Here is a 15,253-nt window from a genome sequence, read left to right on the forward strand (position 1 = left end):
CACTTGAGGCCAGAAGTTCAAGACCAGCCTGGGCTACATAGTGAGAGACTCCCCGCCACCCCACCGGTCTGTACAAAAAGTTTTAAAAATTAGCCGGGTGTGGTGGCATGCACCGGTAGTCCCAGCTACTCAGGCAGCTAAGTCAGGAGAATCACTTGAGCCCTGGAGTTGGAGGCTGCAGTGAGCTATGATCACACCACTGCACTCCAGGCTTGGCCACAGAGTGAAACTCTGGTTAAAAAAAAAAAAAAGGAAATAATCATTCCTGTTCTTGTTATAAATCCAAGGTAGTGTCCTGTTCCCTCTCTGTTCCTTAACACAAGAAACAAACACACACACCCCCACACAGGAAAGCTGCCAGATGCTTGTTTTGTTTTCTGTTATTTAGGTTGCAGTCCTACAGGGCAAGAACCTTTTGTTCCTTGTACCACAGTTGCTGCTGAGTAAATGTCATATTGGGAAGATACCGCAGTCACTCCTCGTGTTTTCCAGACACTGTTCACCAAGCAGGCACCATTTGGCCCCCAGGGGTGAGGCCAGGATGCAAAGCTAAAGACTCAGTCGATTAGTAACAAAGCCACTTGGCTGCTGGGTCCAGACAACCACATGGAAGACCAACCCATTCATTCATTCATTCAGCAAATGTGTATTGAGCACCTAGTGTGTGCCAGGTGCTGTGGACATAGTGGTGAAGAAGTCCAATATGGATCCTCTCCTTACAGAGCTTATGGGCCAGTGACCCATGGCCATTGTCTCTTGTTAGAGGTTAGAACCGTTGTTAGCATATGTGGTCTATTCCCTCAGACTATCAGTTTTGGTTTTTCTTTAGAGATGGGGTCTTGCTATGTTGCTCAAGCTGGTCTCAAACTCCTGGCCTCAAGCAATCCTCCTGCCTCAACCTCCCAAAGTGCTGAGATTACAGACATGAGCCACTGGGCCCAGCCAGTTCTTGCTTTTGTTTGTTTGTTTGTTTGTTTTGAGAAAGAGTCTCACTCTGTCACTCAGGTGGGAGTGCAGTGGTGCAATCTTGCCTCACTGGAGCCTCCAACTCCCAGGCTCAAGCTATCCCCCAACCTCAGCCTCCCAAGTAGCTAATTTTTGTATTTTTAGTAGAGACAGGGTTTCGCCATGATGGCCAGGCTGGTCTCAAACTCCTGGCTTCAAGTGAACCACCCGCCTCAGCCTCCCAAAGTGCTGGGATTACAGGTATGAGCCACCACGCCCCACCTCCTTCTCCTTTTCAGAATTCCTCCTCAAGCCTAAAGTGCTAAGAGCATGGTCCTGGGCCTCTCAAAACTCTGCTGGTCTAATGACCAGAACTGAAACTCACATTTGTGACTCAGAGTTATGGTTTGATTGTTGTGAGAATCTGGGACCGCCGTCTCCAACACCATTATTCATTCTATTTCTGTCTCACACACATAGGGTGAACTTGACCTAGGAAGATTTGCCCTACCTTTGTGGCCACTGATTGATTCAGGATCATTTCTTCCTGAAGGGCATAGCCTTAAACTTGTGCCCAAAGTTCTCATAGTGTGGCGTTGAACAAGCCTTTTTTTTTTTTTTTTTTGAGACGGAGTCTTGCTCTGTCACCCAGGCTGTAGTGTAGTGGCGCAATATGGGTTCACCACAGCCTCTGCCTCCCAGGTTCAAGTGATTCTCCTGCCTCAGCCTCCCGAGTAGCTGGGATTACAGGCATGCGCCAACACACCAGCTAATTTTTGTATTTTTAGTAGAGACAGGGTTTCACCATGTTGGCCAGGCTGGTCTCAAAATCCTGACCTCAAACTATCTGCCCACCTCAGCCTCCCAAAGTTCTGGGATTACAGGCTATGAGCCACCACACCCAGCCTGAACAAGTCACTTTTGATGCTACCATTTCCACGTTTACAAAGTGAGAAGTAAATCAGTCAGAGTATTTTAGGTGCAAACAACAGAAAGAACTCTAGCTAGCTTGAGAGAAAAAAAGGTAGAGGGTTAGTCTCCTGGGGAGACTTGGGGACCTCAAAGGAAAGATTATACAACGTGCCTCCAAAAAAAAAAAAATAGCCCCTGAGGGGTGCTAGAGGAGCCAAGCGGACAATGTCTTCCAAGCAAAGCCACAGGAATGTCAGCTCCAACCTCTTCAGTCCTTGCACTGGACCATTCAAAGTAATTCCCAGGAGAGGCTGATTCACCTGATGTGGGGCCAAGAAAGGGTGGTCCACCTTGACTGACAGTCCCATTGTTCAGGAAAAAATTCTCAAACCATGTTTCCCTCTGCTTTCACACCACCACAACAGTCATCAACACACAACAGACTTGTGTGACCCCAAAATGAGAGGGGATTTCCCCCCACCAGCAGGCAAACAATCAGTTCTGCAGTGGACACCAGCTAGGTGTCCTCCAATTCAATTCCAACACTATCTACTTGGAGATGGCATCAGATCCCACAGTCTGAGGGCTCAGTCCCCAAGACTGCCCTCACTTCAGACACCAGTCAAAAGTGGAGCCTCTAGAACTTTTGACAACTGGCTTTAAGTTGGGGTTTCCACAACCCTCTTTGGGCTCAATTAATTTGTTGGAGAGGCTCACAGAACACAGGGAAGCAAGGCCAGGTGCAGTAGCTCACACCTGTAATCCCAGCACTTTGGGAAGCCAAGGTGGGAGGATCGTTTAAGTCCAGGAGTTCAAGACCAGCTTGGTCAACAGAGTGAGACCCCATCTCTATAAATAATAAAATTAGCCAGGCATGGTGGCACAAGCCTCTAGTCCCAGCTACTCAAGAGGCTGAGGCAGGAGGATCGCTTGAGCCCAGGAGGTCGAGGCTGCAGTGATTCATGATCACACCACTGCATTCCAGGCTGTGTCTCAAAAATTAAAAAACCAAAAAGAATTCAGGGAAACACACCAGTTTATTATAAAGGCTATTACAAAGGCTGCAGATGAAGAGATGCATAGGGTGAGGTATGGGAAGGGGTGCAGAGCTTCTGCGTCCTCCCTGGGCCTGCCACCTTCTAGGAACCCCAGCATGTCTGGCTATCAGGAAGCTCTCTGAAGCCTGTCCTCTTGGGTTTTTATGGAGGCTTCATTATGTAGGCATGATTGATTAAACCATTGGCCATTGGTGATCAACTTGACCTTCAGTCCCTCTCTCCTCCCCAGAGGTTGGGGGATGGGGCTGAAAGTCCCAACCCCATTAAATCACGCATTTGCCCTTGTGGTGACCCTTTTTTTTTTTTTTTGGAGGCACATTGTATAATCTTTCCTTTGAGGTCCCCAAATCTCTCCAGGAGACTAACCCTCTACCTTTTTTTTCTCTCAGGCTAGCTAGAGTTGTTTCTGTTGTTTGCAACTAATATACTCTGACTGATTTACTTTTCACTTTGTAAACATGGAAATGGTAGCATCAAAAGTGACTTGTTCAGGCTGGGTGTGGTGGCTCATTGCCTGTAATCCCAGAACGGTGATCAAATGATCCACCCACCTCGACTTCCCAGAGTGCTGGGATAACAGGCGTGAGCCGCTGCAGCCAGCCCCTCCATCTTTTTGAGCAACCACAGATCTAACATCACCAGCCATTGTTGAGAAATTACCCCAGTCATACAGTAGGAACTTTAGAAAGAAATTTAACTCCAAGGGCCAATTCCCATTTGCGAAGAGGACAGGATAGGCAAGAAAAGAATTTAATTTGAACTGAATTAGCCAAACCATCTGTAGTCAATTTAAGATGAGTCTAGAGTAGACGAGTTACCCTTTCTTCTTCCATGTACCAGGAGTAGAAGGTGTGTATGTTGGGAGCGGGTATTGGGTTCAGGAAGGAGGAAAAGGAATGACTTTTGTTTAATTGGTAAAATCCTTTAAAACTGTCAAATGCTTTCATGTTCATTACAGAAAGGAGGTTTCTATTAATTGATTGCCTGCAGAGAAATAGAAGCTCTCCCAGCTGGATATACGAGTTGTAGAGTCTGGGAGGTGGCACCTTCTAATGGTGAGAATGATGATATTGACAATTATTATGCCTTCTTTTTGCCTGGGGAGCCCAGCAAATAGCTTCATTGGAGTCCAGAGGCTTTCACACTTTCCAGAGCTCCTCTTTAGAATTCGTGGACTCTATGGCTGTATAGACTACCAGAGCAATAGTAAATATTGGGCTGCTGCTCACTGCTCGAGGCCTGTGTGGTCTGCAGTTATCATAGTGCCATACTAACAGTGATTATTTATTGAGCAGCTACTTCATGCCAGGCATGACACCAAGACTATCAAATTAACGTCTTGACCTAAGTATCACTGTAAATAAGAGAACTGGGGCTCAAAGATGTTAAGCAATGTGTCTAGATAGACCTCACACCTCAGCATGGGGATTCAGATCCAGCCCATGTCATTCCAGAGCCTAGGCCCTTAAACACCAGGCCACTGAAAACCAGGCAGAGGGGACTCTGCCTGCGTAGAGCCAACACCTTGCAAGAGACTCGGCCCAAGAGGTGTACCCAACAGACTCCCCATGTGACTCCCCAGCTCTCTAATGAGACCTTGTCAACACCACCCCAGGGAGTAGTCTCACTAGTGGAGCTTCTGGAGAGAAGCAGCTGCATCTTCTTTTCTTGGGTCAGTACTTACTCAAGAGGCCATGAGAGGTACAGGATAGGGCACTGATAAAGAATCAAGAGGGGCTGGGGTATGGTGGCTCACTCCTGTAATTCCAGCACTTTGGGAGGCCGAGGCAGGAGGATTGCTTGAGCCCAGGAGTTTGAGACCAGCCTGGGCAACATGGCGAGCCCCCATCTCTACAAAAAAAAATTTTAAATTAAATTAGCCAGGTGTGGTGGCACGCGCCTGTAGTCTGAGCTATTTGGGAGGCTGAGGCAGGAGGATCGCTTGAGCTCGGGAGTTCAAGGCTGCAGTGAGCCATGAATGTGACTATACTCCAGCCTGGATGACAAAATGAGACTTTGTCTCTTTAAAAGAGTCAGGTGGTACAAATTCCTGTTCCAGCACTGCCCCTCACTGCTGTATGACCTTGGGCAAAATTCCCTCCCAGCTGCACCATGAAGGGATTGGACAAGGCAGTCTTGGGGGCGAATCCAGTCCCCTTCATGGTGCAGCTGGGAGGGGACCTGGCCCAAGTTCTCTATTTTCTTTTTTTTTTTTTTTTTTTGAGATGGAGTCTCGCTCTGTCACCCAGGCTGGAGTGCAGTGGCTTGATCTCCGCTCACTGCAACCTCCGCCTCACGGGTTCAAGCGATTCTCCTACCTCACCCTCCCAAGTAGCTGGGATTACAGGTGTGCTCCACCATGCCAGGCTAATTTTGTATTTTTAGTAGAGACGGGGTTTCACCACGTTGGCCAGGCTGGTCTCGAACTCCTGACCTCAGGTGATCTGCCTGCCTCGGCCTCCCAAAGTGCTGGGATTACAGGCATGAGTCACCACACCCGGCCCTCTGTTTTCTTTTCTCTGTTGTTTTTCTATAACCTGGTGTCTTCAATGTCTTCTCCACTACAGCGAGACTCAGAATTGTCAGACAGCAACCTATTGAGATGGGTTTAGGGAAAGAAGGTAACTTTCTGGGGGGTTCATTTCACTAAAAAGGGGCTAGATCCAGTTAGTGTAAAACATGTCTAGATTCAGCTACTCAAATATTCTCTGGAATGTGTCACTCTCTCTCAATTGTGTTGGCTTTATATCTTTCTTTTTTTTTTTTTTGAGATGAGCCCTTGCTCTGTCCCCCAGACTGGAGTGCAGTGTGTGATCTCAACTCACTCTAACTGCCACCTCCCAGTTCAAGTGATTTTCCTGTCTCAGCCTCCTGAGTAGCTGGGATTACAGGCGTGCATCACCATGCCCGGCTAATTTTTTTTTTTATTCTATTTTTTTTTTAGTAGAGCTAGGGTTTCATTATGTTGGCCAGGCTGGTCTCAAACTCCTGACCTCAGGTGATCTGCCCACCTTGGCCTCCCAAAGTGCTGGGATTACAGGTGTGAGCTGCTGCACCCGGTCTGTGTTGGCTTCATCCTAAGGCAAGCTGGCCTTCGTGGGGGCAAAGGAGCAGCTACAGGCTCACATTCCTTCCAATCCTGGCAGCCCCACTGAAGACAGTACCTTTTCTGTTTTTAGGATAGCTGGGTCTCTTTTACAGTTGCCACCTCCACCTACTGTGCAACAGGCACAGAGGCAAATTCTACACTTGGTGTGCACCAGCAGCATTGGGAAACACTGGGGACGTTGTTAAAATGCACACTATAAGGCCTCACCCCAGACCTACAGAATCAGGACTGGGGATAAGCCCTCCAGGTGTTTCTGAGGTTTGCTCAAGTCTAAGAACCACACTGGGTTATGGAACAGGCTTTAGGGGAATAAATACAAGCCAGCAGTTAGTAGGAAAAGCAGGTGCAGGTCCCCACGAGAGACAGGTTGAGGAGGGGCATTCAGTACACAGTGTGGGTGGATACTCTAGGGAGGCACCCACCTCTCTATTTCTCTCCCTGGTAATAGGGCAAGTATGACAACACTGAGCAGGGTTGATCAGACTATTACGATGCTAAGCAGTGTGAATTTAGGTTCCAATAACTTATGGAAGTTGTCAGGAAAAGCCCACCACCCAGCACCCGGGGGTCTTTAGAACCCTTGCAAGGTTGTAACTCCTCCCACCAGGGAGAAGCAGCCTCTAGTCCTGGGGGAGTCTGAGTCCAAGCAGCCCACAGAGTGAATCCTGGAGTCGCTCCTGCACCACACCAGATTTCTAGCAAAAGTCCTAAAGTCCCGGGATTGAGTCCAGACCAACTTGAGCCACATGCCTGTCTTGGAGCCAGTTTGGAGAAGCAACCAACCTGGAACTGATCGAAGCCCGCCCGGACCACTGCACACCCCTGGCTGCCTCTACCACCTCAAGCAGGTTTCCTAGCTCGGTCCCCTGGGCTAGTCCTGAGTAGGTCTCAGGGATGAGAATCCGGATTCCTGGGGTTTCCTGGAACCTCAGACTCCCAAAGCAGGGCTGTCCCAACAGCAGCTTCCTGGAGTCCTCACTGGCATCAACAGTCCCCGTGATCCGGCTTCCTGGAGTCCTCACTGGCATCAACAGTCCCTGTGGATCCTTCCTGGGTTTTAGTCCATGCTACTTCCAGACCCTCTAAGCTCATTATTTCTGGACTGAAAAGGGATCCCAGCACCTCTAGCCTAGGAGGCCCCTCCCACCACAGCCAGTCACACAGAGGTGGGCATGGGGCTTGGTGTGCAGAAAGAGCCCTGACATGGACTCGGGTGGGACACCCAGACCTGCAGAGTGACCCGGATAAGTCACAACTTCTCTGGGCCTCCGTTTCTCCACATACAAATGCTGGGTTCTGCTCCACAGGACTCTAAGGTTCTCCCTTAGTTCCAAGATCCTATGACTTCTCTAATTTTCTAATTTCCTAAGTATCCTAAATTCCCTGCTCTCAAAACAGCTCCCTCCCACCACCTGGTGTCTCATACAGCCCTTAAAACTCAGCATAAAGGCCGGGCACAGTGGCTCATGCCTGTAATCCCAGCACTTTGGGAGGCCAAAGCAGGCAGATCACGAGGTCAGGAGATCGAAACCACGGTGAAACCCCATCTCTACTAAAAATATAAAAAATTAGCCGGACACGGTGGCGGGCGCCTGTAGTCCCAGCTACTCGGGAGGCTGAGGCAGGAGAATGGCGTGAACCTGGGAGGCGGAGCTTGCAGTGAGCCGAGATCGCGCCACTGCACTCCAGCCTGGGCGACAGAGCAAGACTCCATCTCAAAAAAAAAAAAAAAAAAAAAAAAACTCAGCATAAAAACTCCTCACTAATGTTCTATCATTCGAGCGTCAAGACAGCCATCTGAAGTAGGTATTTCTGTCCCTGCGGGGAACACAGTGAGTCAGCAGCAGACCCAGGGCTCCTCTTTCCAAAGTTCAGTCCACTGCTCCATAAACAGCCACTTTCCACCAACCACAGGCCTCATCTTCCCATCTCTTTCCTGGAAAAAATCCAACCAGGGCTAGGCCTGGATACTGCAGGACCCTTGGCCAATTCCTTCTTTCTCCATGAAGCTTTGATGGGGGCAGCCCAGATATCAGGAGTGGAGTATTGGGGTATTGGGGGTGGAGCAGGAGACACATCATCTTTCATTGTGGGTACCCGGTCAGTGTCACACATGTGACAGATTAGCAGACCTGAAATCAGAGGTAAGTCTGAGACCAGATGTGAAAAGAGGGGCTGTGTTTTCTGAAACAAAAGGTTCTGGGAACTGACAGGACACCTCCGAACAGGAAAGGAAGAGGCTGGCATAACAGAAACCAGAACTCCTGGAAGAAGGGAGGTGGGGGGCTACATGGGATCTGGCAGGAGGAAGCATTCTGACAGCATTTCCCACATCCAGGAGGAGACACGCTAGAGGGAAGGGAGCATGCGCACACACAGGCAGCGGCTGTGCAGCAGAAGGCGTTCAACCTCTCTGGCTTAGAAGAACAGCAGCCTCTCCTTTTTTCTACTGTGAAGTTATCGTCCCAGCAGCCACCCCAGTAGAAGAACTGAGGCAGGGCTCTGGGTAGCCCTCTGGTTTACAGTTCCAGAGTTCCTGATCTAATGTTGGGAAATCTGAATCCAGGCTCCCTTCCTAAACCTGACCTTGCTGGTGTGGAAGGGGCTTGGATTTTGGTCTAAGTCCTACCACATACAAAAGTCAGCTCATGCTTATGGCTCCTCTCAGAGCCTCAGACAGGGGAATTCAAGTCTCTATGAGGAATAAATAAGACCATACCTTTTTACATATGATGTAAAGATACATCATATCTTTAGAACTTAATGTGAGTCCCCACTTAGTGCACTAAGGCCAGGCATGGTGGCTCATGCCTGTAATCCCAGCACTTTGGGAAGCTGAGGTGGGCAGATCACCTGAGGTTAGGAGTTCAAGACCAGCCTGGCCAACATGGTGAAACCCTGTCTCTACTACAAATACAAAAATTAGCCAGGTGTGGTGATGAGCATCTGTAATCCCAGCTACTTGGGAGGCTGAGGCAGGAGAATTGCTTGAACTCAGGAGGCAGAGGTTGCAGTGAGCTGAGATTGTGCCACTGCACTCTAGCCTGGGCGACGAGAGTGAGACTCCGTCTCAAAAAAAAAAAAAAAAAAAAAAAGGCCAGGCACGGTGGCTCACGCTTCTAATCCCAGCACTTTGGGTGGCCGAGGCGGGTGGATCACGAGGTCAGGAGATCGAGACCATCCTGGCTAACATGGTGAAACCCCATCTCTACTAAAAAAAAATACAAAAAAAAATTTGCCGGGCGTGGTGGCGGGTGCCTGTAGTCCCAGCTACTCGGGAGGCTGAGGCAGAAGAATGGCATGAACCTGGGAGGTGGAGCTTGCAGTGAGCTGAGATAGCACCACTGCACTCTGCTGCCTGGGCAACAGAGCGAGACTGTCTAGAAAAAAAAAAAAAACAACAACTCTAAAAGATGCTTGCACCATGCCTGTCACCCAAGTGTGCAAGATCTCAGCCTGTTTTGACCACTTGTGTTGTGGTCAGTTGGGAGTGGGTGCCCTGTCATTTGGTACTAATAATAGTTGAAGTACCAAAGTCTGTACACTATTTACAGCAGAGTCACATCACATACACACGTAACTTATGCAACTTAAACTATGTGCACTCAGGGAAAAAGAAAAGGTAAGAATTAATTGTCAGGCAGGACACACTGATGAGCATCTAAGCCAGAGTGAGCAGTTTTCAGCCCCTCATGCCTCACTGATCATGGGCCATTGAGTGTGACTTAAGGGTTTTACTTGACATTGTATCTTTAGAACTTAATGTGAGTCCCCACTTAGTGCACTTTTAAAAATACTGCAAACAGCCGGGCACAGTGGCTCACGCCTATAATCCCAGGCAGATCACTTGAGGTCAGGAGTTCAAGATCAGCCTGGCTAACATGGTAAAACCCCGTCTCTACTAAAAATACCAAAAAAAAATTAGCTGGGTGTGATCTCAACTACTCAGGAGGCTGAGGCAGGAGGATCGCTTGAACCCAGGAGGCGAAGGTTGCATTGAGCTGAGATTGCATCACTGCACTCCAGCCTGGGTGACGGAGCGAGACTCTGTCTCAAAAAAAAACGAAAGAGTTCCCTCTTCACTTTACCCATTCTTTCAAGCCTAAGGACCACAGACAGCCGTTCCACTGCAGAGTACCCCGTGAATGCTTCATCAGCACGACTATAACCCCCTATTCATGGCATACATTGTTGGCAGAGGATTATCTATAAAATAAAGGCTCAAAATTCTTCCAGGCACCAAGATTTTTATTTACCCACCTTCCTGCTTTCTTTTAACATTATAGGCCAAATTATTCTCTTTTTGACCCAGGGTTGTGAAAGGAACCATCTGGTTATAAAGTGGTGGCAGATTTCACGAAATCTGCCTGCATTCATGTTTTTCTGGCCCCTCTCAACCCCTAGCTGTCACTTCTCTGTTCTTTCTCAGTTGCCCCTTAACAGTCTATTCTAACCCCTGTAAAACAGGGACTAAAAGTACTAACCTCATTGTAATGAGGTTTAAGAGAAGGCCCAGCACTAAGCCAGGCTCTCAGGAAAATTCAAACAACAGTTCCTCTTTGCCCTTCAATATAGCCCCTTCTCATCTGTCATGGGCTGAAGAACCACTGGACCTGTAAACCAAGCACACAGGTATAAGTCCACAGACCAGGTGAAGGCCTAGATGGCAAAACACATGGGCTTTGTGACTCCACTACTGACTTCCAGGCTAAGGAAGGACTGACTTAGTGAGCTGTTCCAAGACCACTGAGCTCATGGTTCCCTGTGGCTGGGACCTCCATCATGACCGGGGCTTGAAGAGGGTACTCTGTTCCCGCTGCCACATTTGGAACAGTATGACGGCTGCAGCAGAGGCCAAAAACTAAGTGATCAGCCCCAGAGAGTCGATGGGGGACACTGACAAACCAATCACAAAGTTGGTGCCATTAGCTCTTAGGGAGGAGAGGTGGGGCCTGGGCAAGGACAGCAGCTGGAGGGTGAAACGCAGACCTGGCTCTCAGTAGCGGTAGTGATCCGGCTTGAAGGGGCCATCACAGGACATGCCCAGGTACTGGGCTTGCTTCTCAGTTAGCTTGGTCAACTTCACATTCAGCTTGCCCAGGTGGGCTTCAGCCACTGCCTCATCCAGCTGGGGAGAAACAAAGGAAGACCGGGAATCAGTGCCATTTTCTGGGACCCCTACACGCGTCTGGCTGCCAATAGAGGCAGAAGTGTTCTGTTAGGGTTTCTGCCATGTGTGGTACTCATGTTAACTCTTTCTATCCTCACACCCAGCCTCAGTTAATGTGTTGTTTTGGCTGCCCAGCCCCCCTCAAAAGGGAACCATGCCACACCCTCCCCTACATGTGGCTTGACAGGACCATCAATCACATCTCCTTCCTCATTCTTCAACTCAAGCAGCTAACCAAAATGCTTCTCTGGAATTGATCTATGCACAGGACATATTTTCCATGACAGGCAGAGACAAGGTGCTCCAACCCCACTGGGATTCCTAAACAGGGAAGGGTATCTATCAATCTCAGCTCACCAGTTCCAAGTCTATTTTACAAGTGAAATGAAGATAGATCCGAGAGACAGAAGGACAGAGCCATGATGACACGGAATCCTAGGTTTCCAGTGTTTGGATCCGAGAATAAAGTTCTTTTTTTTGTGACAGAGTCTCATTCGGACGCCCACGCTGGAGTGCAGTGGCACGATCTCGGCTCACTGCAACTTCTACATCCCAGGTTCAAGTGATTCTCCTGCCTCAGCCTCCCGAGGAGCTGGGATTACAGGCGTGCACCACCACGTCCAGCTAACTTTCTGTTTTTAGTAGAGATGGGGTTTCACCATGTTGGTAAGGCTGTTCTTGAACTCCTGACCTCAGGTGTCGAACTCCTGACCTCAGGTGATCTGCCTGCCTCAGCCTCCCAAAGTGCTGGGATTACAGGCGTGAGCCACCGTGCCTGGCAGATTCGAGAATAAAGTTCTTTTTTGGATTAAACTGGTTGCTTTTTTTGATTAAAATGTATCTATAAATTCTTTGATACTCCTTTAAGAATTAGAGCCTAATCCCCACCGCCTCCCCCCACCCCACCGAGTGATTCCTTTCTAATGAATAGAAGAAAGCAGAAGTGATGGTGTGTGACTTTGGACACAAGTTCATAGAGACCCTGTGGCTTCCTCCTTGCTCTCCTCTGGATGACTTACTCTGGGGGAAGCCAGATGCCATCTCCTGAGGATGCATAAGCAGCCCTCTGGAGAGGCCCATGCATGAGGAATTGAGACCTCCTGTCAACAGCGATGTGAAGAGGATCTTCCAGACCCAGTCAAACCTTCAGATGATTGCAGCCCTGGCAGAAATCTTGACCGCAACCTCATGAAAGAGCCTGAGTCAGAAGCAGCCAGCTAAGCTGATCTCAAATTCTTGACCCACAGAAACTGAAATAATAAATATTTATTATTTGAAGCCAGTAAGTCTGGGGGTTAGATTGTTATGCAGCAAGATAACTGATACACTGGTTTGAATAGTGTTTCTATCACTTGTGACCAAAAGGATTCTAATCCACTGCCATCCTCCTTTTATAAAATGAGGAAATCAAGGTTCAGAAACGTGAAATGACGTGTCCACGGTCACCAAGCTAGTGAATGACAGAGCTAGGATTTGAACCCAGGTCTATCTGGCTTCAAAGCCCCAAAATGTGTCTCAAGCATCCCAGCTTATGGCCTCTAGAGCAGCTTTGAAGAGATTATGCAGAAACCGAGGAGGACAGAGGCAAGAGTTAAATACAAGCAAGCCTCTAACTCTCTCATGAGGTAGGCCTCTCCCTACCCCTAAGGGACCCCATCCTGTCCCATGATGGCATGGCGGCCTCTGACCACAGCTCAGCCCACAGCTTTTACATTCCCAAGTGGTTTCACATCTACTGTTTCATTAGAGCCTCCCAAACACCCTTAAGAAGTAGGATGGGTGCGGTTTATCCTTGTATCTTCAGATGAAGCAAAGAGCCTGCAGAAGGTGATGTGCTCAGCAGAGAGGCGGGCAACAGTAGGACCAGGGCCCAGCCTAGAACTGAGTCCACGTCAGTTCCAGAGGTAGAACGATGGCCTCCAACCCCCACAGTACACATTGAAATCAACCTTCTGCTTGGCCCGGACTAGCCCAGAACTTTTCCTTCTCCCAGCACCCTGAACCAGAAGGTGTGTGTCACGTCCTAAGGTCAACACCTTGGACAGACAGAGCTAGGTTCTATTCCTGGCCTGATACTTAACATCTGTGAGAGCAAGTCGGTCTCTACACCTGACTTTCCCCATTCGCAGGATGGATGGATCACTCATCTCTCAAGGCTGTTACAAAGATCAGTGCTACTCAGAGTCATTCGTGCAGTAGGTGACTTAATAAATGGTGGCTGCCTTCTCTGTCATTGTTGACCAAGGTACCTAGTCCCTTGCCTGCATACAGCATGTGAGGCATGATGCCAAGAGTGTCCTGTCCCCAAGCCACATGTTAGCAATGATGAAGAAAAGTGGTAAGGACAGGGTCAGGTGCTGAGGCGGGAGCTTTGCCTCTTTCACTTCCAACCCTGCCCTCATTTCAAAGGCCTGACCAATTTCTCACCAAACTCATAGCCATATTTCTCCCAACTGGGATTAGATGGGGATCAAGTGAGAATCTTTCAACCCCACAACCAGCTGCACAGAACAAGGTATGCCTTGAGGTCCTTATGAGTAAAATGTTTGGTCCAGCAAGACATTGCTCCAGGGAGATTAGTTGTTGGCTGGCCCTGGAGGCAGATGCCCCAGGCCTCTTCCTGCGTCTTCCTCAATTGGTAGAACCAGCCTTTCAAAAGATGAAGGGATGGTATGTAGACCCCATCACAGCTTCTCCAGCAGCAAAAGGCTGGAAGAGCAAGAGCTACTCTTACCATTTAGCTCATAAGGAGACTGAGGATTGGACAGGGTAAGGGACAAAGCAAAGTTCACCTGTAAAACTGCCAAGAAAAGCCAGGACTAAAACATCTGTCCTGACCCCAGGGAAGGGTGGACTGCATGGGGTGTTAGGGTGAGCACTGGATTTCATGTCAGAGGACTTCATCTTCATGAGTATGCAGACCATACAACCATAGTGAGATGCCATGCTTAGGGATGTATCTTTTTTTTTTGAGACAGGGTCTCACTCTGTCACCAGGCTGGAGTGCAGTGGCACAATCTCGTCTCACTGCAACCTCCACCTCCTGGGTTCAAGCAATTCTCCTGCCTCAGCTTCCCAAGTACCTGGGACTACAGGCATGCGCCACCATGCCCAGCTCATTTTTTTGTATTTTTAGTAGAGATGGGGTTTCACCATGTTGGCCAGGCTGGTCTCCAACTTCTGACCTCAAATGATCTGCCCACCTCGGCCTCCCAAAGTGCTGGGATTACAGGTGTGAGCCACCGCGCCTGGCCAGGGATGTATCATCTTATTACAAGGCCACAACGTGCAGCCTGCAGACTGCACTCAGCTTATACACATGTCCAAGTTAACCCACCCAGTTATTTTTTAAATTATAATGAGGCCAGGTGCAGTGGCCGAGGCGGGTGGATCACTTGAAATCAGGAGTTCGAGACCAGTCTGGCCAATATGGCAAAACCCCGTCTCTACTAAAAATACAAAAAAATTAGCCAAGTGTGGTGGCATCTGCCTGTAATCCTAGCTACTCAAGAGGCTGAGGTGGGAGGATTGCTTGAACCCGGCAGGTGGAGGTTGCAGTAAGCCGAGATCACGTCACTGCACTCTAGCCTGGGCAACAGAGTGAGACTCTATCTCAAAAAAATCAAAATCAAAATAAAATTTTAATGAGTTGCCTGTATTTGAAAATCATTTTGTATAGAGATCTTGGTATCTCTGGCTCTCCTGAAAGGTTAGAAGCCCTGGTCAGACGGACCTGGGTTCCTAGGTGGCAACCAGCCCTTTACCCCTTCAGCTCTTCCAGTCCTTGTTCAGCTGGCATCACTCATTTACCTGCCTAGCCCCTGTGGGTGTGTGGGTTCATGATCTCAGGAAATCCTCACAATCCTGAAGGGGGTTGCTATTACCTTCATTTCACAGATGAGAAAATGAAGACAGAGAAAGAATTTGCCTGGATTACACAGCCTGTAAGTGGTGGGGCTGAGATTCAAACTGGGGTGTGTCCCGCTCCAAGGCCCAGGCTCTCCTCACCACCTGGTCCTGCCGCTCTGCTGTGCTCCAGGGAGCCACTCCCTACTGTGG

The 15,253-nt window shown here is 48.8% G+C and overlaps 1 protein-coding gene across 9 annotated transcripts in view; it reads right to left on the bottom strand.

Moving 5' to 3' along the window:
• The window catches only part of AHCY (adenosylhomocysteinase), a 79,856-nt gene that overhangs the window by 38,033 nt on the left and 26,570 nt on the right, over positions 1 to 15,253 (bottom strand). For 6 of the 9 annotated variants that reach the window (XM_011528659.2, NM_001161766.2, NM_000687.4 and 3 more), the window contains exon 10: positions 10,255 to 11,152. In XM_011528659.2, coding sequence (XP_011526961.1) covers positions 11,021 to 11,152 — 132 coding nt within the window. In that variant the 3' untranslated portion in view covers positions 10,255 to 11,020. Of the gene's footprint in view, positions 1 to 2,875; positions 8,157 to 10,254; positions 11,153 to 15,253 lie in introns of those variants that run through there. The other 3 variants (XM_017027709.3, NM_001362750.2, XM_047439962.1) reach the window with 3 other exon arrangements.

Source organism: Homo sapiens, chromosome 20 (genome assembly GCF_000001405.40).
Source record: "Homo sapiens chromosome 20, GRCh38.p14 Primary Assembly".
Taxonomy (NCBI): Eukaryota; Metazoa; Chordata; class Mammalia; order Primates; family Hominidae; genus Homo; species Homo sapiens.